At 41.2% G+C, this 24,692-nt stretch overlaps 1 protein-coding gene across 2 annotated transcripts in view, besides 1 other annotated feature; it reads right to left on the bottom strand.

Annotated features, from left to right (window-relative positions):
* The window catches only part of CDH26 (cadherin 26), a 77,512-nt gene extending 58,460 nt beyond the window's left edge, over window positions 1-19,052 (bottom strand). The window contains exons 1-4 of one of the 2 annotated variants that reach the window (NR_145482.2): window positions 18,680-19,052; window positions 8,452-8,508; window positions 7,289-7,411; window positions 5,352-5,513 (exon numbers count right to left, since the gene is read on the bottom strand). Coding sequence is in view for 1 of the 2 variants with exons in the window: in NM_177980.4 (NP_817089.1) it covers window positions 5,352-5,513; window positions 7,289-7,393; window positions 8,452-8,508; window positions 18,680-18,748 (393 nt within the window). In the remaining variant the exon portion in view is untranslated. The remainder of the gene's footprint in view (window positions 1-5,351; window positions 5,514-7,288; window positions 7,412-8,451; window positions 8,509-18,679) is intronic. The other variant, NM_177980.4, reaches the window with a different exon arrangement.
* Window positions 22,510-23,011: an enhancer, noted in NCBI's record as "H3K27ac hESC enhancer chr20:58529519-58530020 (GRCh37/hg19 assembly coordinates)". NCBI's record gives its function as "activates a minimal SCP1, AML or CMV promoter by ChIP-STARR-seq in primed H9 embryonic stem cells {active_cell/tissue: H9 hESC(primed)}" and the evidence as "EXISTENCE:reporter gene assay evidence [ECO:0000049][PMID:30033119]".

The following is a 24,692-nucleotide window of genomic DNA, read 5'->3' as shown; positions in this document are numbered from 1 at the left end:
AAAAGCAAGTCGAATCAGGCTTGCTCCTGAATCTCTCATTGCTCTAGTATAAAGGGTGCTTTTGTTTGTTGAAGGCTGAAAAGGCTGTGGGCAAAGGCAGGAGTTCAGAGTCGCAGAAAAGGGAGTGGGAAAGGGCACGGATCCTGGCACGAGGGTGGTCCAGGCAGAGGCCTGTTCTGCAGTCAGACCACTGGATTCTCAAGGGTCAACTGGTCGCCAGGTACAGTATCCTGCTTGGGGTAAAAAGGTTTATTGCAGAAGCCTGGCTGCCAGCTTCAGCCAGGCCCAGGGCGGACTCACCAGCACCAGCCCTTCCCGTAGATGGCCTCTGCTCATCCCCGCGGAAGCCCTGGAGGAAGGCACCCTTGCTGTCCAGCTCTGCACCATGGAGAGACTAAGTGACTATTTCACCTTCAGCTTGGAAGTAGAGTAGCCCAGATTCAAGTCCAGTCAGGGATCAAGACTGCACCTTCCGCCGATTCTTCCTCACTTCACTCTATGGCTACTCAGTGCCCAGGGTCGGTGGCCCTCCCAGGGGGCCTCTAAGGGCCTTGAAAGCTTTAGGCAACACTCTCTCCATCCCCTTCCTCAGGGGCCTAAATGTCTTTCCCTCTGTACTGTTTCGCATGACTGCCTGAGCCCCCTTTCCCTGCAGACTTGTGGCTCATTCCTCTGCTTCCATCACCGTGGTCCCACCAGGTATCCTAGCACAGCAGCCCCTACGTCTAGCGCAGGTCAGTGCTCCTCCTCCCCCACAGCAGGACTGAGGGAGGCTTCAGGGCTTCTACCACTGAGCTAGTCCGCTGCAGGGACTCCAGCATACATTTTTAAATTTTTGTGCAAATAAATTGGCTTTCTCACTCACCATCTCTACATTCTCCTCCATAATGTATGACTGTGCTGGCAACTCTTTGCTCCTTAATCACCCTGACTTCTGGCTGTAAAACTGTGCCAACTGTACTCCTTCCATTTAAAAAAAGAACCACTTGTGTGTTTTATGTTTATTATTTTATATTTCATTTATTATCCTAAAGCTACGTATGAGACCTTTAGTTCCATAAGATGCCTGAGAAACATGAGTGCTGTTTATTCTTTGGCAAGATGCTAAGAATTTCTAGGGATTCGGGTTACAATGGAGAAAAGAAATGTCATGGACATTTTCTGCACTTGGAAAGTGTTTCCAGCCTTTGGTTATAGCCTCAAGATTTATACCTTTGGATAAACAAACCATGGTGCATTAACTTGATACATCACATGGCTGTTTGAAATTACAGGCACAAGATCTGCGGCCTTACATGCAAATGAGCACATAGGAACACCTTCAGCGCCAAATGCACAACACAAAATCGCTACTGCATAGGTTAGACTGTGTGGTGAAAAAAATTAACAAATAATTATTTTGAGAAATATAAAAAGATGGGTTTTGGGGTAGCTTTGTATTCTACAAAAATGAGCATATTTTGATATAAATAGATAAGGTCCATACACAGAAAAAAATTGAAACTTTTTCTGTTGCTGTCCTCTGTCTCAAATCTTACAGTAATTCTCAACCAGGGCTACTGCTTTCTTGTACATGCATGGAGTTAATAAATGTTAGCCTCCCCCACACCACCCCCTGAACACAATTTTTCTTTTGGCTGGTTTTAGAGACCCCATCAGGATGCTCAAGAGTAAAGAAGTGCTACTAGAATGTCTTTTTGCCACTACATTAGGCTTACTTGATTTTTAATAATGTACTATCTTGATGGACTGCCAAAGCCAACAATAAACGCTCTCTTACAGGAGCAGATGGTTAAGCTAGGATGCTCAATTTGTGTAGTGTTTAGGACACGTCCTAATTTATAGGACATGTCTTATGCCACCCTTCCTTGTTGGTAATCCTTCTCATTGGACCATTTCATATGCTCCTAAATAGTGTGTAAGCCCCTGGCTGTTAGTTTCCTGTGGCTGTTGTAACAAAATACCATAGACCCCCATGGCTTACACTAGGAACTTATTCTCTCACAGCTCTGTAGGCTAGAGCTGAAATGGAGGAGTCAGCAGGGTTGGTTCTTCTGGAGGCTCCGAAGGAGAGACTCTTCCGGGCCTCTCCTGGCTTCGGGTGGTTGCTAGCAAACCTCAGTGTTCCTTGGCATCACTCTAATCTCTGCCTCCACCTTCACCTGGCATTCTCCTCTGCGTCTGTCTCTGTGTCAAAGATTCTCTCTTCTTCTAAAAATACTGGTCACTGGGTTATGGCCCACCCTAATCCAGTATGACCTCATTTTAACTTGATTACACCTACAAAGACCCTATATCCAAATAAGGTCACAGGGGTAGGTACCATGAATTAGGACTTGAACATGTATTTTTGGGAGACACAATTCAACTCACAACACCCAGCAAGGCCGAGGCTACATTTTACTCTGCTTGTTCATTCATTTACTCCTTCATCTAACATGATTAAGGGAGAACCTATTATGTGAGGAGCCCTGATCTTGACCCTGGGGCAATGGCAGACTTTCCCCAAAGTCAACAATAAGGCAGAGTCTCTCCCCTCTTAGAACTACATTCTAAGAGGGGAGATCAGCATTCTAATGGAGGAGATCAACTATCAACAGATAATTAAACACAAAATTCACATTTCAGGTGATGAGTGGTGTTGAGGAGAAAATAAAACAGGGTAATGAGACGGAGAGTGACAGGCAAGGTTGGGGCATGCCTCAGAATCCCCACCCTGTATCTTTCCTTGTGGAAGTCTGTAGTTAAATGACAGGGCCACGGATCAAATAAGTACCTAAATCAATATTAAAAGACAACTGTGGTCAATGTTTGGGGGATCAGAACATGGGTTTGGCCTAGCCAGGGAGCTCCAAGCATAGGGCCCTGAAAACCTGACATAACAGAATTAATGGGGATGCCATGTGTTTCCCCCCACCCCACACTGTCACTCTTTGCTCTAAATGGTGCCTAGGATCTATCTGTGATGCACCAAGCATTTCCAACTCAACTTCGAGTTTCAGGAAATGCTGTTAGATATTTGGCTTTAGCATTATCAGCTTTTAGACACAAAGTCCCATTTTAGACATTATGAATGCCAACCCTTAATACATCATTTAAAATGTTAAAAGCATCGTTCACAAAAATGTTCTCCCATTCTGCAGGTTGTCTGTTTACTCTGTTGATAGTTTCTTTTGCATCTGAAAGATTTAATATCTAGCATCTATAAGGAACTTAAAATTACAAGAAAAAAAACCCCATTAAAAAGTGGACAAAAGACATAAACAGACACTTTTCAAAAGAAGATATACTTGTGGCCAGTAAGCATATGAAAAAAAGCTCAACATCACTGATTATTAGAAAAATGAAAATTAAAACCACAATGAGATACCATCTCACACCAGTCAGAATGGCTATTATTAAAAAGTCAAAAAACAACAGATGCTGGTGAGGTTGCAGAATAAAAAGGAGCATGTATATACTGTTGGTGGGAGTGTAAATTACTTCAACCATTGTGGAAGACAGTGTGGTGATTCCTCAAAGAGCTAAAAACAGAAATATTATTCAACCCAGCAATCCCATTACTGGGTATATACCCAAAGGAATTTAAATCATTCTATCATAAAGACATATGCATGGGTATGTTCATTGCAGCAGGATTCACAGTAGCAAAGACATGAAATCAACCTAAATGCCTATCAATGGTAGAATGGATAAAGCAAATATGGTACATGTACACCATGGAATACTATGCAGCCATAAAAAAGAATGGGATTATGTCCTTTGCAGGAACATGGATGGAGCTGGAGGCCATTATCCTTAGCAAACTAACACAGGAACAGAAAACCAATACTGCATGTTCTCACTTATAGATAGGAGCTAAATGATGAGAACACATGGACACACAGAAGGAAACAGACACTGGAGTCTCTCAGAGGGTGAAGGGTGGGAGGAGGGAGAGGATCAGGAAAACTAACTAGTGGGTACTAGGCTTAATACCTGGATGATGAAATAACCTGTACACTAAACCCTCATTATACAAGTTTACCTATATAACAAACCTGTACATGAACTTAAAATGAAAGTTAAAAATAATAATAATAATAAAAGGAAAGGAAAAAATAAAATATTGAAAGCAAACAAGCAACAACAACAAGTGAGCACTGAATGTTTGGTTCCATCCTTGCACAGACCATGATCATCACTAGGTCCTCCCTACTCAATGTGTGGAAGCCCGAGGAACAGCAGCATGGGCATCACCTGGAGCTTGCTAGACATGCAGGCTTTCAGGCTTCACCCTGACCTACTAAAACAGAATCTGCATTTTTACCAAGATCCCTAGGTGATCTGTTTGCTCATGAAAGATTGAGAAGTGCTATCTCAGGGTCTCCTTATGACTACTCTTCTTTTTAACAGGCACTGTTAAAAGTCCTTCTTTTTAACAGACACTGTGAATTCTGCACAGAAGGGAGGCATGCATTCATACAGATAAGGAAGACCTAGAGAGTCATCTTTGCATGTTCATTGGAGTTTTAGAACAATTTTCACCGATTTAAAAATTAGAGATTCAGAGCCTATCAGTGAGTTAAGGGTATATCTTTTATTGTGTATATAAGTACTTTGAGATCACTGGAGAAAAGCTTCAACTATTACTTTTCTTGAATGTTAATCAACATCTTTCCACCCTGAAAGAGTTAATGAACAAATGTACAGCCAAGCACGCCTGAGAACCAAGCCCAGTTCCCAGCAGCTCCATTCCACTGAAGTCAAAATAGAACAAAGTTTGACTACCTAAGGACTTCCTATGATGTTAGGTGAGTAATGTGATACATGGTTCAGGGCTTTTTTCTTTATAATTTCCTTTCCTAGTTTACAACCTGAATTTCAACTTCATAGTAAACCACAGTGTTGCAGTGATGAAATCGTAAAGAACACCTGCACTCACAATAAGACATTGTCAACAGGTATGCAACTGCTCATGCATCAGTTATTGGGCAACCCATTGGGTCTGTTATGGCTTGTCTCCATATTTCAGAAGTCACTCATCAAAAAATAAATTAGCCCATTTTATAAACATTCTGTGACCCTATACCCAAATGCTTTCTGATATCCCGATCATGCTAGGACACTGGTCATTAGAATAAAGACCTATAGCAGCTCACATCGATTGCAGAAATCATTACAAAGCCAAAGTCCACAACTCTAAAAGAAGATTACAAAAGTCTCAGGCATACTCGTAAAGCTTGTCACAAGGCATAATTTCTCAATCTCCCGGAACCTGGCACATAGTCAGCTTAAATAATGCTTACCAAATACAACAGTCTTGCAAGAGCTTTTAAATCCGAGCTTAGAATATATCAAGTTTTAGATACCGTGAAAGATGGTGTCATTTCTCGATCGACAGGGCGGTGAACATATATCCTTCCGTTCTCATGATCTTCTAGAGAAAACAAACCAATCTCTGGATATTCATCCACACCAGGTCCACTGATTAGATACATTAGTGACATGTTATAAGACATATTATTGAACAGCTGGAAGGAGGAAAAATGGAAAGAAGAAAAAAGGAGGATGAGAATAAGCCACTATGATAATCAAGTATCAAGGCTAAGAATCAATGGCATCTTTAAGAAATTATACCCAGCAATGGCACATCTGCCAAAGAAATAAACAGATGGGCTGAGATGCAGGAACAATGATGTTGAACTGTTAGCTTCAGTTTGGTCTGTAACAGTGAAAATTTGGAAATAGCATAAATGTTCATCAACATGAAAAAAATAATATAATGATACTTCCTTCACATAGCATGGGATACTCTGTAGCCTTTAAAGATGTATTTACACTGCCACGGAATGACTAGCAGGACACATCACTAAACAAGAAAGGCAAGCAGAACAACACACCAAGTGTGATCTCATTTCTTGGATGCAGATTCACATCAGAAAATCTGTAGAGAAATATCTGGAACCACACATACCAATTTATTAATATCAATTATCCCTTGAAGGAAAGAGAAGTAGTGATCACACAACTAACATTTAGAAAGAGCTTAGAATGAGTGGGCCTACAATATGCCTTGCTTGCCTTAACCTATTTAATCTTTAAAACATCTCTGAAATGTAGGCAATATCATTGACCGCATTGTACAGATGAGGACACGTTAAAAATCTCTAACTTACCCAGCAAGGAGGTGGTGCAGTAGGAATATGAACCCACTCACTCCCCCTGACTCTTAGGCATATACACTTTTAACCACTGAGACTTGAAAACTTTCTGTACTCTTTATGTTTGTTTTTAACAGTAGGCGTGCACTATTTCCTTCTTCTAAGAATCATAGAATGCCACAGCTATAGCAGAACTTAATCAGCACTTAATTCAAAGGCCCATTGGTACTAGGAAGGTAGTGGAAATAAACAACATGAGCCTGGTGTAAAGATTCTGCTATTCCAATACCATGTGACTTCTTCAAGGCAGTGCTCACCCTCAGCATGAGGGAGGCAATAGGGAGGGGTGGAAACTGGTATTCTGAGTAACTCAAGCCCCGCCTAATTGTTGTAATGTGGGAATGTGGGTTCCTTGTGGCCAGAACTTTCCATTTTTAAAAGTCTTTAGAAGGGCAAAATTTTTAAGACAATCTCCCTTATTTATTTATTTATTTATTTATTTATTTATTTATTTATTTATTTTTGAGACAGAGTCTCGCTGTCGCCCAGGCTGGAGTGCAGTGGTGCGATCTTGGCTCACTGCAAGCTCCGCCTCCTGGGTTCATGCCATTCTCCTGCCTCAGCCTCCCGAGCAGCTGGGACTACAGGCACCTGCAACCATGCCTGGTTAATTTTTTGTATTTTTAGTAGAGACAAGATTTCACCATGTTGGCCAGGATGGGCTCGATCTCCTGATCTCCTGATCCGCCCGCCTCGGCCTCCCAAAGTGCTGGGATTACAGGCGTGAGCCACCGCGCCTGGCCGACAATCTCCCTGTTTTTAAATAATATTTAAAAAAAAAAAAAGCCTCTGCATGGGCCAAATAAAGCAGACCTGTCAGTTGGAATTAACCACCCTGTTGCTGTATGAGATTCTCATCAGACACTCACATGGAGAAGTGACTCGTTCAAACTCACATAACCAGGTAGAGTTAGAGTGAGTTCTAGAACCCAGGCTTCCTGAACCCCAGGCCAGTGCTCCTTCTGCTCTACTTCACTCCCTGGCCTCACTAGCACATAACCTTTCAAGACTTAATCTTCCTGGCCAAAGGGGCGTGCTTACTTAGAGGGCATGATGGGGTCATTCCTTAAGAGTAGGCACCTTACCTCACCAATGAGTTTGGGAAAGGGTCCCGGGTCTTCCTCCTCCAGCTCCAAGGTGGTGATAACCCATCTTCTCTTGGATCGCCGTAGAGGCTGGTAGATCTTTTCCTGGAACTTATAGTGACACTGGTGACAATGAGGATGGCAGTGATGCTCACAGCCAGGATTTATCACACCCTTACTTCATGTAAAGGCCCTGTGCTGACACCTGGCCTGCATTCTCTCATCGCCAGAACAGCCACCTAAGCTTGGAAAACCCAAGTGCCTGTCTTCTTAATAGCTGTAGAGTCATCTCTAACCACGGGGTGGATGCTGTCCGATGATTTGACGTGGTTCTTGAGATAATTTCAGGAGCTATCCAGACATAGCATTAAAGATGACTGTCTGCTATGTGCCAATGGCTGTCCTATAGTAGACATGCAAACGGTTGTTGAGAAAGTTTTCCCACTTCCATTTATCTCTCAGTCTTCCTGAAATTATTGATGATTAGGTGCTGACAGACCTTTAATGCCTCTCTGTCTATGACTATCCCTTTTAACAAATGTGCAGACATGTACACAAAGAGAAAGAGAGTGACTTAGACTCAGATCTTGGGCTCAGATATTTGTCAGGTAAGAGAATATATGAAATTTAAAGCATTGTTTTGTTTGCATTATATATTTTCACAGTTACCATCTATTATAAGTGAAGTTGGTTTCTAGCCACATTAATTTTATCAACAAAAATGTAAGTTCTTTTTTAAAAAAATTACTTAATGATAGAGTGAATTGACCAAGAGAACAATACCAAGTAAATAATCACAACGTGGCATGAGGATATGGCAAAACTTCACAGTGGTAGGTGCATGACTGCTGCAATGGAAAATATGAAGTTCAATATATTTTAATTCCATAAAGAATAAAATGATGTGGACAAACCTCCATGCTTATGGTGTACAGTTGAATTTTGATGTTCACAGGCTGCTCACATTCTAATTAGACATAAAAGCATCACCTGCAACTCTCTGGCAGTCCCTCAAGATTCTAAAAGGCCACATGAAGTTACTATTTTATTTTCTGCAAACCAAACATTGGCAGGGCACTAAAGAACTCCAAACTGCAATTCTGTCTCTAAGTCAAGTGTAGAGACTGATTTTATATATTAAGAAACTGACTTCCAAACCTCACCTTTGTTTGCTTAGTAAGATCATCTGTTTCCTGTTGAACACTGTCAATGATACTGACCTTAAAAATAAAAATAATATTAATTAGTAGAGAATATTCTTACCAGAATCACATGGAAACCACCTGGAGTTGCACAAATCTAGAATTAGAAATGATGAAAACAGAACTTCTGTAGTTAGTTTTGGTAAATAGAATTTCTTATCCTCTACATCTTAATTCATGATTGCCACTTATCTTCTCTAACTATAGGAGAAATAATGAAAAGAATTCTGATTTATTATTACCAATGGTGGGGAGACGTTTAAAATCATAAAATACTACTGTTAGTTAACAAAGCAGGAAGTAGAACTTGTTTATTCAGGATGAGCACAGCTGTATTTATATGTACACATGTAAAATAACACCAAATATTAATTGGTGATGAGGTTTAAGTGGGCTTTTCTTTTGTTTTTTTTGCCCCTTATTTCTAAGACATTATTTACAATAATTAATAAAATAATAGACATGGCACTTTACATTTACATAATGACTTAGAGTGATAATACTTATTTATAATTTATATCTCAACAATCCTTTCCCTTCCTCCAAAAAATACATGTACAAGACTGTTGAAATAGAAAGAGATAAGTCAGCCAGGAGCGGTGGCTCACGCGTGTAATCCTAGCACTTTGGGAGGCCAAGGCAGGTGGATGACCTGAGGTCAGGAGTTCGAGAGCAACTAACCAATATGATGAAACCCCATCTCTACTGAAAATACAAAAATTAGCCGGCCATGGTGGCACGCGCCTGTAATCCCAGTTACTTGGGAGGCTGAGACAAGAGAATCGCTTGAACCTGGGAGGCGGAGGTTGCAGTGAGATTTGATTGCACCACTGCACTCCAGCCTGGGCGACAGAGCAAGACTCCATCTGAGAAGAAAGAAAGAAGGAAAGAAGGAAAGAAAGAAAGAGAGGGAGAGAGAGAGAGAGAGAGACAGAGAGAGAGAGAGAGAGAGAGAGAGACAGAGAGAAAGGAAGAAAGAAAGAAAGAAAGAAAGAAAGAAAGAAAGAAAGAAAGAAAGAAAGAAAGATAGAAAGAAAGAAAGAAAGAAAGGGAAAGGAAAGGAAAGGAAAGGAAAGGAAGGAAGGAAGGAAGGAAGGAAGGAAGGAAGAAAGAAAGAAAGAAAGAAAGAAAGAAAGAAAGAAAGAAAGAAAGAAAGAAAGAAAGAAAGAAATGAGGGAGGGAGGGAGGGAGGGAAGGAAGGAAGGAGGGAGGGAAGGGGAAGGGGAAGGGGAAGGGAAGGGAGGAAGGAAAGAAAGAAAGAAAGAGAGAGAATGGTCCTGCAATGTATGATTAGAACCAGCAGCAAACGAAAGGGTGGGAGTGGGGAGGGAGAGAGACAGTGTGCACGCAGGATGACTAGAATAAAGCAAATGGGGCAAAAAGTATAAACAACTGGTAAATTTTCACACGGGGTATTTTGGAATTCTTTGTATTTTCCTTAAATCTTATAAGTTTTATACCAAAACAAAAACTTATCAAAAAAGACAATTTCAGGAACTAAGATTGGGTATTCAATTTAGCACTAAGATTCTTGCCAGTTATAATAAAAAGGGAAAGTCTGTCTTTAAAAATGAAACATTTTTAATAAAACCTTTTCTTGTTATACAGTCTTCCTATTTAAAAGAAAATTTGATAGCAAAATGCTTTGAGCATACAGAAAGAAATAGAGAATGACATAATGATGCCCATCACCTAGTTCTCTCAAACCTTCATACTTTTACCCTATTTGCTTCGAAGTGTTGAGATGTAAATCGTTACAGATAAAATTGAAACTTCCTGTGTACCCCTCCCTCATCTCACTTTTTCCTCAGAAGTAACTCTCATCCTAAATTATACTTAGCATTTCAATGCATGTTTTTAAACCTTCACTATATGTATCTGTGTGCATAGATATGGCTATATATTCATAACAATGTGTAATTTTTATGGTTTTGGATTGGACTTTTAAATAATGGTTCACAGTAATCATCATCCCATAACATTATTATTTTTTTTTTTACTTATCATTGATTTTTCATTTTGGGGGAGGATGTGTGTGTTAACACCTACAGTTCTAGTTCATTCATTTTTATTGCTGTAGAACATTTCACTATATGAATAGGTAATAATCTATTTATCCATTCTCCTAGTGATGGTCATTTAGGTTGGTTCCAGTTTTTCATTACCAAAAATGCTATGGTAATAAACATCCATGTATATATGAAAAGTTTCTCTGTAGCAGCAATTTTCAAAGTATGGTTTCCACAGCCCTGTAAGAGAGTCCACAAGGCCAAACTCTTTCATAAGAACACTAAGGCATTGTTTGCCTATTTTGCTGTCTGACATTTGCACTGATGGTGCAAAACAATAACGTTGGTGAGTGGAATTGCTGATGCCTCAGCACAAATGAAGGCAGTGGTACCAAACTCCCCATTGTATTCTTCACCACCATGCACTTGCTCACGCACTTGCAGGAAAAACCAAAAAGAAACACAAAGAAAACTAGTTTCATTTAAGAATGAAATAATTGGTGAATTTACTCAATTACTGTAATCGCTTGAGAACTCATGAAGTAGTAAAAAATATTAATTGTTTTAAATTGCAACACTTGAGTGTACATCTTTTAAACACTCTTCGTGAGTGGATGGGAAGTATGTACAAGGCACTGCTGCTGTACATCAAGGCAGAAGGTTTATCTCAAAGAAAAGTACTTGCGTGATTGCTTCAGTTTCCAGCTGAACAGGCCACTTTTTTTTTTTTTTTTTTTTTTTTTTAATGCAACACCATTTTACTTGAAAGAACAACCAAGAAACTGTGATGATTCACGCCAGGGTATCTGATATACGGTTCCTTGATGATGAACAAAGTGAGCTTTCACTTCGAGAAAATCAATCAATGCACAGTATCTGTTCCCACTGATAAATGTAATCTTTCAAGCAAAAATCAGAATTTTAGAAAACTTGTGTCTGCCAATATAAGCATGAAAGCTTCCTAATAATTAAAGATTTTTACTATAATAGCAATAGTTTCTTTTTAATTTTATAGGCTGAAATATGTCCACACAGGAAATACCTGCATAACTCAATAGCCAATGGCTTCCTAATGATCAACACATCATGTTCTAAAATCATGTGCAGGCAAAAGAGTCATCCAGAGTGCAAGAGAGACCAGTGGATTTTAATGGAACGGAGTAGGGAAAATTCAGTGATATGGTTTCAGATTCCACCCAGTAAATAACTGTTAAGACATTACAGTGTATTGAGTTTTGGTGTAATATCAAAGAAAAATATCCACAATTATCTGTTCCAGGTTATTAAAATATTCCTCCCTTTTCAAATATCTGCTCGAGGCCAGAATTTCTTCATATACTCCAACCAAACAAATTCACAACAGACTGAATACAGAAGCAGAGAGGAGACTCCCGCTGTTTTCTTTAAAGCCGGACATTCAAAATATTTGCAAAAAATATATAGATAGTGGCACTTTTTCCACTAAATGGAATTTTGAAAAATATGGATAGTTTCCAAAATATGTGCTATTTTTATTAACATAGAATGGGTTTATTATGGTTATGTCCAATGAATTGAGAAATATGTTTAAAATTTCCCTGTTTTAATAGCTATCATGGTATCAGCAAATATAACCCACATAAGCTAAATCTCTAGGACTGATACCTAAATCACCAGGGACAGAGCCTCCACTCTGGTTGGCTCGTCCGCGTCAGAATCTATCATTATTTATCCTTATTCACATTACAATACAAGAGGCCATGGTGGGTGGTGGGTGGGTGATGTTATTGGGTTGTATTGTCAGCATCAGGGCTAACGATAATATTTGTTTCCTGGCCAGGTTATATTTCTGTCTATTTACCTGAAGGAAAAGAATGTTTAAACTCTGAGTTTAAGTCTGAAATCTCAAACTGATTTTTTTAGACAATGGATGCTTCTTGATTAATGTCAGTAGTTTTAAATTAAGGGCCTACCCAGGTGTATAATTTTTAAATGGAGAAAATTGTAGTTCTTGCAAAAGATAAAGAAATTAATTCCGTTTCTGAAACAGGTGTATTTCCAGGTGGCCAAGGTTATTAACAAGGAATATATTGAGGTTTCTTGTTCCCTCTGGGCCTCAGTTTCCCCTTCTGTAAATTGAGGGTATGAGACAAGGTGTCTTTAAGGGCTCTTTCAACACTAAAGCTCTGTAAATTCATTTTATTATGATAAGACATAAACGGCACAGTTGACAGTCATGTAAGAGCTGGCTGAAGTGTTCAAAAAGAGGTTTGAAATGGTGGATGTTTATACTTTGCCAGAGATGCCTTAAATTTCACATTGTTGTGTGTGTTTCATTTCTCCTCTCTTTATGCATGTCTTAGAAATTAACTTGAGATCTCTCATCTGGGTGATGCAGGAAGACTGGAAATTGTTATATTTTCTGTAATGATTTTGTAAGTGCTCTCATTATATTTCTCATCTGTGCCAAATTTAGGCAGTCTGTCCAAAGAGGAAATCTTTCAAAAGATTTACATAATGCTTTCTATAATGCGGTGGTGTGGGCCTGGGGTCGGGGGCGGGGGGTTCTTTCTAGATGCTTGTTCCCTCAGCTACCATGTCCACCAAACCACTTTATCAGAGGGGGCCAGGCAGACATATGATTGCATGGTCCGCCCTGCACATGATTTGACAGATGGCTCTGGACCTGGGGCATGTAACCAATATCATTCAGGCTGGCCTGGCTGGGCAGCCATGGCATCTTTTGGGAGAAAATTCTCTGAATGAATGAAGATGTAATCTGTGACTATACAGGATACTAAAGAGCTAAGAGGCCTATATAGAAATCATTCTCTCCCAAAATGCTTGGAAGTATTTCATTTTTAAATGCAAGTTTTTATTTAAGCAGAATTCGAGTCCTAAAAATCAGCAGAATTTGGATCAAGGACTCTGTTCTGCAGGTTTATGTCTTTGTTCCAGATTCAGTGACAAGTAATGACTAGCCATAGGAAAGGAGTCTTTCTCCCCTCTTCAGTCATTTCCAGTTCTGAGAGCCGACGAGTCCTCAGCTTGGGTCTGTGGCAGGCTTGAAAGACCATGGAGGAGAGAGGTTTTAAGATAATGAAATTGGACAGTGAGGAAAGCCTCTTTTTTTTTTTTATTTTTGGATGATGAGGAAAGCCTCTTAAGCTTTCATTCAGGGAGAATTTGGACCCTAGAAATCACAGAATTTCCTATGAGAGATTCCTCTAGAGATTCTTTTAATCCGTACCCAATATCTCTCTTCTGGGCTCTAGACCAGGGCAGTCCTAGGAAAATCTCTGTGAAGATGAGAATGTCCCTGCTGTCCTGGCCAGTGTGGTAGCCCCTAGCCACATGTGGCTAATTGGGCCCCTAAAATGTGGCTAGTGCTAGTATAGGACTGAATTTTAAATTTTGCTTAATTTTAATTAACTTAAATTGCCACATGTGACTAGAGGCCAATGCAGATAGTATAAAGTATTGGTTAAGCATGTGGATTTATAAGTTTAGAAGACCTGAGTTTAAATCCTGTTCTATGGGCAATATGGCAAAAACCTGTCTCTACAAAATATATAAAAATTAGCCAGGCATGGTGGCCCATGCCTGTAGTTCCAGCTACTTGGGAGGCTGAGGTGGAAGGATCGCATGAGTCTGGGAGGCGGAGGTTGCAGTGAGTTGAGATCATACCACTGCACTCCAGCCTGGGCAGCAGAGTGAGACCCTGCCAAAAAAAAAAAAAAAAAATCCTTATCTACCCCTCACCAGCTATGTGATGTCGGGCAGGTAATTTATGCTCTGGAGTCTGCATTTCCTCATCTGTGCACACACATGCACAACCCCCACATACGTACATGTATAAGTGTTTGTATGTATTTGATCCTCACAACAGCCCAATCATGAAGGTACTATTATTATTCCTTTTTAACATACAACACTCACACACAAAGTGCTCAGGATGGCAAGGGCTACGTAAGTATCTCCTCTTTTTCCTATTCAAGTCTCTAGGCAACATTTCCACTGGCATCTCCCACAAGCAACTCAAATCCTACATGTCCCAGACTGATAGCATAGCTTGTATTCTCACAATCCTGCCCATCCTGGGGGCTCTCTAACCACAAAAGACACTTACCTACTCATTCCAAAGGTCATCCTTGATGCCTCTGCTTCTCTCATCCCCATGTCCAAGTTCTGTCAAGTTCACTTCCTAAGGCCAGCTCTTCTCTGCCTCCACCCCAAACAGCTAAAGTTTCCACCACCTCGGGAACCCACAGGATTGGTCTCTCCCATTCATTCCATCCTTCTGTGGTGGGTTGAATTGTGTCCCTAAAAGCGTATATTGAAGACTTAATTCCCAGTACCTGTGAACGGGACCTTATTTGGAAATAGGCTATTTGCAGATGTAATTCTTAACTGAATTACAGTTAAGATGAAGTCACACTGGGTTAGAGTGGGCCCTAATCTAGTGAGCAGTGTCTCGATAGGAAAACACAGACACAAAGGGATGATGCCATGTCATGACAGGGGCAGAGACTGGAGTGACGTAGCTGCAAGCCAAGAAACAGCTGGGATTGCCAGCAACCCACCAGAAGCTGGGGAGAGGCCAGGGAGGGTCCTCCCAGTCTCAGACGGATTTTGGCCCTGCTGACGCCTTGGTTTCAGACTTCTGACTTCTAGAACTGCAAGAGAGTACATTTCTCCTATTTTAAGCCGACGTACCAGTTTGTGGTTCATTGTTTCAGCAGTCTGAGGACACTAATATATGTTCCTAACACATTCTCTGCACAGAGGCTTGAGTGATCTTTAAAAGCACAGATCTCACACCCCTTTCCCCCCAGTGTTTTTACTTCTCTTAGGACAGAATCCAACCTGCTCTGTCCCCTGCTGACCCTCTCAGCTTCACCTCTGACCACACTATCCCCACCTTCTGCAACCCATCACTCTGTTGGTCTTAAATGAAGGGCTGAAAGAGTAATTCAGTCAGAGCATAAATGCTAACAATTTATTAAAATGTAACTCAATTCAGAATTTCCCAGATTGGTAACAACGCCACCACCACCAACAACAAAAAATCATAAGTGGCTTTTCTCATTGTACAGTTTCATTCTCTTAAAACTTCCCTCTTCTCTGGTCTTTGAAGCCTGCCACAGCCCCAAGGTGAGGACATATGAGCTCAGAGGCCTGGAAATGACAAAAGGGGAGAAAACTCCTCTTCCTTGGCTTGTCATTACTTGTCACTGAACCTGGAACAAAGACATAAACCTGCAGAACAGAATCCTGACTTGGTGATTTGGCTTCATGGCCAAATGACAAAGAAAGGGTGTGGGGATTTCAGAGGAAAACTATTGTGGACACAATAGCTCTCCAGCAGAAATGGTATCAGCTTGTAAATATGGAGATCTGAACAGGGGGAAGTAGGTATCTGTCATAGATGTCACAGATGGCAATAAGCCAATTCAGGGGGCGGGGATGTAAAGGAATGGAACGGAATGTTACTCATAGCCAATTTGACAATTATTGAGCACCTGCCAGGTGTAAAGCTCTTTAAGAGTTAAAGGTCCAGCATTCTGATTGCTAAAAACTTCTTACATCTATTGAATCATGTTCTCTTCATCTGTCTTGATTCCCTGGAATCTACATAAAGCTGCTGTCATCAATCACTGAAGTACAATCCACAGACCCATTCCCACTGCCCACCCCCACCCAACCACCCTCAGAAGTCAATTAATTTGCTTTGGCACTGCACTAATACGCCAGAGGGAAGAGAATTCAGGTCTGTTTCCTGATCAGACTCATTGTGGGTAGGAGCAGGAGTGAGGGAAGGATGGGGACAGGATTTGATCTGGACTATATTCAAATCCATGCAAACATGGGCTACTAAAAAGGACTTCTGTGAAGTATTGGAGATCAAATTAATGTGCTGTCTGACTAAGGAAACTCGTAACTCTTGATATGGCAAAATGTGACCAAGAAAATTCTCCAAACCTCAAGCAACTGGTACCAAACAAGTTATCCACTTTCAGACAGGGTTTTCCCCCTATTATGTTTATTGGTGTATTCCCAGTGCCTGGCCCAAAGCAGGTATCCAGTAAATAGTTTTAGCATGAGCTCTGAATGAATATTGCCAACCATTTTCACTGTGATTAGAAAAACGGCTGGGTCGTTACTGAACTGTGAACCTAATAGTAGACAGAGGCTCTCTAAGAGAAGATGACGTTTGTCTGGGCAAGGACATATCCATGGGAATATGTGTGCCATGGTAAACGATGTGCAGAGTCAGGGAGGTAAAGGGAGATAAAGGTTTTCAAAGGAAAAAATGAGAAGGATTATATCATTGTTTTGAAATAATTATCTTTGGCTACAAAGATCAATAAGAAGGGTGACACTGGTCTGAGTTTGCACAAAAAGTTGCTGGGAAGATTTCTTCGAAAAAGTATTTTTTGTGTAAGGTTTTAACGGCCTTTGTGCAAAGTTGTTATTTTTGCAGAGCTTTTGTGATAGTTTTAGTTATCAAGCCTACAAATGTGAGAACCCCCTTTTCATAACCTTCTTTGTGTCTATATATCAGGCTTTGTGCCTGTGTGTGTGTGTGTGTGTGTGTGTGTTTTAACATAAGGAACTCCATTCTGATTCTGACAACTTTCGCAGTACCAAGGGCTTTTACGCATTTCCTCATTCACTGGTACAACCACTGGCTCAGATAAATTCAGTTACTAGCTCCATTTTCAGGTGAAGAAAAATAGGCTTAACAAGGTTATGTTAAAACCAGTGCACTGACACCCAGTGCACTCCCAGGTCAGCTCAACCTGAACCTTTGGGGGCAAAACCCAGGCACTGAGATCCCTTGAAGCTCCCTAGGTAAGTTCAACTTGATCCAAGGTAAGGAACAAAGTTAAGCTGGCCTAGGTCCCCAGCGGGCTGTGAAGGAGCCTAGGTCAGGACGCCAAGCAGCCCAGTCCAGAGCTCACAGTTACCAGCCACTGGGCTGCTTCCCACCCTCAGCTGGTATTCAAAGGAAGAAATGATTCCCTCTCCCTACCTACAGAAAGCCAACGAAGCAGATCATAACCAACAAGCGCATGCAACATTACCTCTGTCCACTCTAAGTACAAACAGAGCAAGCCCATGTGTTTCGAATCCTGACTCCACTAGTTTGTATTCCCATTTAAACAGTGGCAGTTGGGGGCAATGGATTTAGCCATTCCATCCCCATGGGTTTGCTCAAATTGCCTTGGATCCAGACAACTGAGATTTCCTCAATCTTATGTAAAGTGTGAACAGAAGTATCATTATAAAACTTGGCAGGGCGCAGTGTCTCAAGCCTGTCATCCTAACACTTTGGGAGGCTGAGGCAGGCAGATCACTTGAGGTCAGGAGTTTGAGACCAGCCTGGCCAACATGGTGAAACCCTGTCTCTAATAAAAATACAAAAACTAGCCGGGCATGGTGGCGTGCACCTGTAGTCCCAGTACTCGGGAGGCTGAGCCAGGAGGTTGCTTGAACCCAGTAGGAGGAGGTTGCGGTGCACTGAGATGTCACCACGCACTGTAGCCTGGATGACGAGACCCTGTCTCAAAAAAAAAAAAAAATTGTGTGTGTTGGCTGGGTGAGGTGGCTCATGCCTGTAAACCCAACACTTCGGAAGGGCAAGGCGAATAAATCACTTGAGCTTAGGAGTTCGAGACCAGCCTGGGCAACATGGTGAAAATCCATCTCTATAAAAAATACAGAAATTAGCCAGCGTGGTGGTAAGTTACTGTAGTCCCAGCTACTCTTGAGGCTGAGGTGGAAGGATCACCTGAGCCTGGGAGGTTAAAGCTGCAGTGAGCCTTGATCATGCCACTGCACTCCAGCCTGGATGATGAAGCCAGACCCTGTCTCAACAAAAGGAGAAAGAAACAAAGAAAGAAAACACGTGTGTGTTGATGTAATCTCACTAAAAATAGTGTGAACTATATAAATTAGTTTTAAACAGGTCCCTTAGCCTGCTCCCACTGTTGCCCCAAACAGACTGGGACCCTTAACTTCCCTTTATATAAATCCAGAGCCCCTGCTACCTAAGCCATTCTCAAGACAGCCAGCCCTGGGTCCCAGCAGGTCACACTCAGTCCCTCTCCCCTCCCTTAGCCTAGAAGGGGCAGGGCCAGCTTGTGCTTTGCTTTCAGTTCCCTGCACCTGAGCACTAGGCTGCAGGCTCAGCTTACCTGCAGCAGCCACAGCAGCAGCACTAGAAGCAGCAGCAGCGAGGGGTGCCTCCCGGATCTCATGGCCATATGGGAATACCCAAGACAGACCCAGAACGTGCAGCTGATGACCAGTCCTCCAAGCTGGTGGTCTCACCGGAGCCACACACCTCCTTCTCAGCCAGCAGCTTCTTCTCTAAAGGTTTTCAGGTCACTTTGGCCCAGATGCTTTCATCCCATCTTGCTCCTCCCTTTTCAGCTTTTCTTGCATTTATCAGAGTGGGGTGGGCTGACTTGTAAGCTTGAACATACGTTTGCCACAAGTAGAGTTCCTAGGAAGGGTGGGGTAGAAACTAAAGCCACCATGGTCCTGCACGTACACAAAAGACTGGCTGGGGTCTGACCTCAGGAACAACAGCTCAGCCAGCGGAAGTAAAACCAGCACCTATCGGAAAGCAGAATTATTTGTTTCTTTGTTTCCTTGTTTGTTCTGGTTTCCAAATAGAAGGTCCAATCATCTCTTTCTATAGCAGGATATGTTAGTGACTATTTTCTATAATCTTATCCTCTTGAACCAAACAAAAAAAACTAGAAAATGACAAGAATGATAACTTTATTAAGGGGGAAGGGATGGGGAAGAATGAAAGAAAAGAAAAATCAACTTTTACTTTCCAAAGCACTAAAAATCGTTATTCCAACAATATCCCAGGGCTCTGGGGTTTTCAAATTATTTCTACTAAAACCTTTTTTAAGCTTAGATTAATCTGCCTTTTTGAGTTTGGAATTAAAGTGGGAGGGAGGAGAGATGGGAAAGAGCCTCCCTATGGACAGGGATCTCTGTGGCAACCCGGGAGTCTTTGCATGAGAATTCTGAAAGAGACAATTTGAGATTATATTATACCAATACTTAAGGTTGCAGTAAGCAAGTTTTAAAACACAATCTGTGATACATTAACCCTGATTACCTTAACATGACCTTTTTATCACATTACCTTGTTTAAAGTAGTAAACAGATAAAATAAAAGGTAAACTTTCTTTGCTTGTTCTAGATATTGGCTTAGGCAAGGATTTCATGACCAAGAACCAAAAAGCAAATGCAATAAAATCAAAGATAAATAGCTGGGACCTAATTAAACTAAAGAGCTTTTGCACTGCAAAAGGAACAGTCAGCAGAGTAAACAGACAACCCACAGAGTGGGAGAAAATCTTCACAATCTATACATCTGACAAAGGATTAATATCCAGAATCCACAATGAACTCCAACAAATCAGTAAGAAAAAAACAATCCCATCAAAAAGTGGGATAAGGACATGAATAGACAATTCTCAAAAGAAGATATACAAATGGTCAACAAGCATATGAAAAAATGCTCAACATCACCAATGATCAGCAAAACGCAAATCAAAACCGCAGTGCGATACCACCTTACTCCTGCAAGAATGACCATAATCAAAAAATCAAAAAACAGTAGACGTTGGTGTGGATGTGACAATCAGGGAACACTTCTACACTGCTGGGGGGAATATAACATAGTACAGCTGCTATGGAAAACAGTGTGGAGATTCCTTAAAGAACAAAAGTAGAACTACCATTTGATCCAGCAATCCCACTACTGGGTATCTTCCCAGAGGAAAAGAAGTCATTATTCGAAAAAGATACTTGCACATGCACGTTTATAGCAGCAAAATTCACAATTGCAAAATCGTGGAACCAACCCAAATGCCCATCAATCAACTAGTGGATAAAGAAAATGTGTATATGCGTATCTATATGTATATATACACATATATGCGTGTATATATGTGTATGTACATATATACACATATATGTGTGTATATATGTGTATGTACATATATACACGCATATATGTATATATACACATATATGTGTATATATGTGTATGTACATATATACACATATATACATACATATATACACACATATATGTATATATATACATACACATATATACACACATATATGTATATATATACATACACATATATATACACATATATATGTATATATATGTGTATATACAGATATATATGATGGAATACTACTCAGCCATAAAAAGGAATGAATTAACAGCATTTGCAGTGACCTGGATGAGATTGGAGACTATTATTCTAAATGAAGTAACTCAGGAATGGAAAATCAAACATTGTATATTCTCACTGATTTGTGGGAGCTAAGCTATGAGGACACAAAGGCATAAGAATCATACAATGGACTTTGGGGAATTGGGGGGAAGAGTGGGAAGAGGGTGAGGGATAAAAGACAACAAATATGGTGCAGTGTATACTGCTTGGGTGATGGGTGCACCAGGATCTCACAAATCTCCACTGAAAAACTTACTCATGTAACCAATATGCCACCTGTACCCCAATAACTTATGGAAAAATAAAATTAAAAAATAAAAATAAAAAAGAACTCATCAAAAATAAAATATAAAATAAAAATCTCCCAATTAAAAAAAAAAAACTTTCTTTGCTTAACTGAACATTCATAGCTCTGAGATGCTGCTGAATATTTTAATTTGAATAGTTTATTTTTATTGAAATTAATAGCTTATTATTGAAAAGAATAATAAATACAACTTTAAAGTCTATAGATATTTCCTGTGCATAAAGAGAAACTGAATACCTTGTGCCTATTTTCAAAGTGGATATTTCTATAATGATAGCCTATTTTTAAAAAACTGATTAAGTTAGAATCACTAATTTAGAATATATAAGTCAGGTGAGCTAAACCATGTTAAATATATGTGAAAAAACCACGTCAGTTGAGCACTCCCTGCTGCTAGAATAGCGCTGGGGACTAAAATATTGTTGCTAGAAAGGCATTAGCCTCACAATGTTCTAGTCTGGGCGGAGCTGGGGGACAACAGTGAAGGATTCCACTTTCACATTCGTTTTAAGTTTAAAAGAAATTGGTATTTTAAAATTAGCCGGGCATGGTGGCACACACCTGTAATCCCAACTACTCCGGAGGCTGAGGCAGGGGAATCCCTTGAACCCGGGAGGCGGAGGTTGCAGTGAGCTGAGATCACATCATTGCACTCCAGCCTTAGGCAACAAGAGTGAAACTCCATCTCAAAACAAAACAAAACAAAAAACACCATAGGAACTGGTATTTTAATATATTAGAAACAAACAAGTTTTCAACATTCTCAAGCGTTTAAAATAACTAAGCAGAATGCCAGTTCCCCACACGGCAACCCTACTTGGGTAGGCCACGGGGCCTGGAACTCAGCTGGTGATTCTGGGCATCACCTGCTGCACATCTTGGGTGAGCCTGAGCTTGAAGATGTCCCCACTCCCTTTCTATTCTGAGCATGTGATCATAGTGACAATAGTCTAGCGCTCCTTTCTGTGTCCTTGGAAGTACAGTAATACTTTATAGCCACATGGTGGCAGCTCCCAGCTCCCTGTAAGCTGACAAGTGAAGAAATGAGATTGCTCATGAGATAAAAGTTACTTGATTGCAAGGGAGGTATGAGCTACAATTACCTACCCAGGGTCAACCTTCTCATGTTTTTGAGGAGTGCCCCCAGCCACCTCCAGTTCTCACTGTTCTTTTTTTAGTAATGATGATTGCATCATGAGGCATCCCCACCCGGCTTGGATTTCTGCGTGGACAGTGGTCTGGCTGGCCAGGCCTCATGCCCAGCTGAAAGGAGGGGAACTTAGGTGGACAGTGGGACTGAGGGAAGATGACAAATGCACCTGACTCTGCCTACCTTTGGCATTTTCCATATGGATCAAGTAAACACCAGAGAAGTAAAGCGCTAGGCTCAAGCCTTCTTTCCTGGCTGGGGAGGTGAGAAGGCTGGCATTCGATGCCTCCTCTGCAGAGGTGAGCCAGCCGCAGTGAAAGGCTGGGAGAGTGGCCTGTTACAGAGGACAGGCCTTAGGCTTTCCCTTAGTCTCTCTTTCTGTCACCAACGCTAGGGGAGGCAGAGCCTGGAAGAGGGAGGGAGCAGAGGTGTCCCAACAGCAAAGCACCACCATGCCTTAGGATCTCAGTGCTGGGTTGGAAGGTGAGGAGGGGCTGCCCAAGCCTCCCCTGCCCACACACCCACCTGGGAGTCCAGCCCACCCAGGGTGGATGGAAGAGATTAGATTTCCATCAAGGCTGACATCGAAGTTTTAAGCTGGGCTGGTTTTACTGACTGACGTGACTGGGTAATGATGAGCCCCAGTTGTAACTGAGGGATTGAAATGGTTTGGTTGAAGGCTCAGATTAAGGAAGAATAAAATGGCTCATGCTTATATGTCCCCTGAGTCAAGACCTTTCTATATTCACTAACACAAAAATAATTTTCCAGCCAATACTTCTGAATTCAATTCCCGTTTCTTCATAGTCACAAGAAAAGTTTAATTTCTCAGAACACTCTTGAGAAGGGTTTTTAAAATAATCAGGGAAGAGTTCTGCTTCCAGTAGTGGTGAAGTAGGTTCAACTCTGCCATAGACATAGCAGCTATTAACATAATATAAAACAGGGCTGGGCGCAGTGGCTCATGTCTATAATCCCAGCACTTTGGGAGGCTGAGGCAGGTGGATCACCTGAGGTCAGGAGTTTGAGACCAGCCTGGCCAACATGGTGAACCCCTGTCTCTACTAAAAATACAAAAAAATTAGCCAGGTGTGGTGACACATGGCCAGCTACTTGGGAGGCTGAGGCAGGAGAATCGCTGAGGTGGAGGTTGCAGTGAGCCGAAATCAAGCCATCGCACTCCATCCTGGGCAACAAGAGTGAAACTCTGTCTCTTTCTCTCTCTCTCTCTCTCTCTCTCTCTCTCTCTCTCTCTCTCTCTCTCTCTCTCTCTCTATATATATATATATATATATATATATATATATATATATATATATATATATATATATATAGTATAAAACAGCTACCCACAGTGGAGGCCCTGGAGGGTGAGCATGGCAGGCAGAAGCTGGAAGGATACTGATGCCTGGAATAGGCCACAGCTGGGACTGCTAGGTGGCTAGACGGATGGACAGAGTAGACACAGCCAGGTGGCAACTGTCTGGTTATGAGAGTAAGCATGCGGGTATTCACTGTGAAGCTCTTTCCACTTTCGTATATGTTTGATTTTTTTTTTTTTTTTTTGAGACAGAATCTCACTCTGTCACCTAGGCTGGAGTGCAATGGCATAATCTCGGCTCACTGCAACCTTTGCCTTCCGGGTTCAAGCGATTCTCCTGCCTCAGCCTCCTGAGTAGCTGGGATTACAGGCATGTGCCATCATGCCCAGTTAATTTTTGTATTTTTGGTAGAGATGGGGTTTCACCATGTTGGCCAGGCTGGTCTCAAACCCCTGACCTGAGGTGATCCACCTGTCTCGGCCTCCCAAAGTGCTGGGATTACAGGTGTAAGCCACCGTGCCTGGCCTGAAAAAATTTATAATGCAATATTGGGAAAAAACCAGAAGGTGAATTTGACTCCATCAAGGAAAACTCCATCAGCACTTTACTTCTCTGTTGTTTACTTGATCCATATGGGAAATGCCAAATGCAGGTAGAGTCCAGTGTGTTTGTCATCTTCCCTCAGTCCTGCTGTCCACCTCGGTTCTCTTCCTTTCAGCTGGGCATGGGGCCTGACCAGCCAGACCACTGTCCAAGCAGAAGCCCAAGCCAGGCGGGGATGCCCTCATGATGCATTCATCATTATTAAGTGTAGTTTTACCCAATACCTGATAGTGTATCTCTAGTTGTACCCCAATATCTTGTCACATATATTAAGAGCTGAAGTTCATTAGATTTCATATTAGAATAAAATAATCCATCATTTGTGTTTCTGGATTTTTTTCAAGGACTAAGAATTTTTTCAATTCTGATTACTAATCACATGGGTTGATTTGAGCGTGCATACTGAAACTTAGGTTTTGGTATCTTGTCAGCCACTAAGAGCTGGCCAGAAAATTATCTTGGAGAGATTTTAATCTCTTGCCCCAATTTTTTTAACTAATATGTAGTTGCAGATATGCAATTAGAAAAACAAACAAAAACGCTGCCAGA

Source organism: Homo sapiens, chromosome 20, assembly GCF_000001405.40.
Source record: "Homo sapiens chromosome 20, GRCh38.p14 Primary Assembly".
In the NCBI taxonomy this organism is placed as follows: Eukaryota; Metazoa; Chordata; class Mammalia; order Primates; family Hominidae; genus Homo; species Homo sapiens.
The sequence above is the reverse complement of the archived record's forward strand: the minus strand, read 5'-3'. Positions and strand labels throughout refer to the sequence as shown.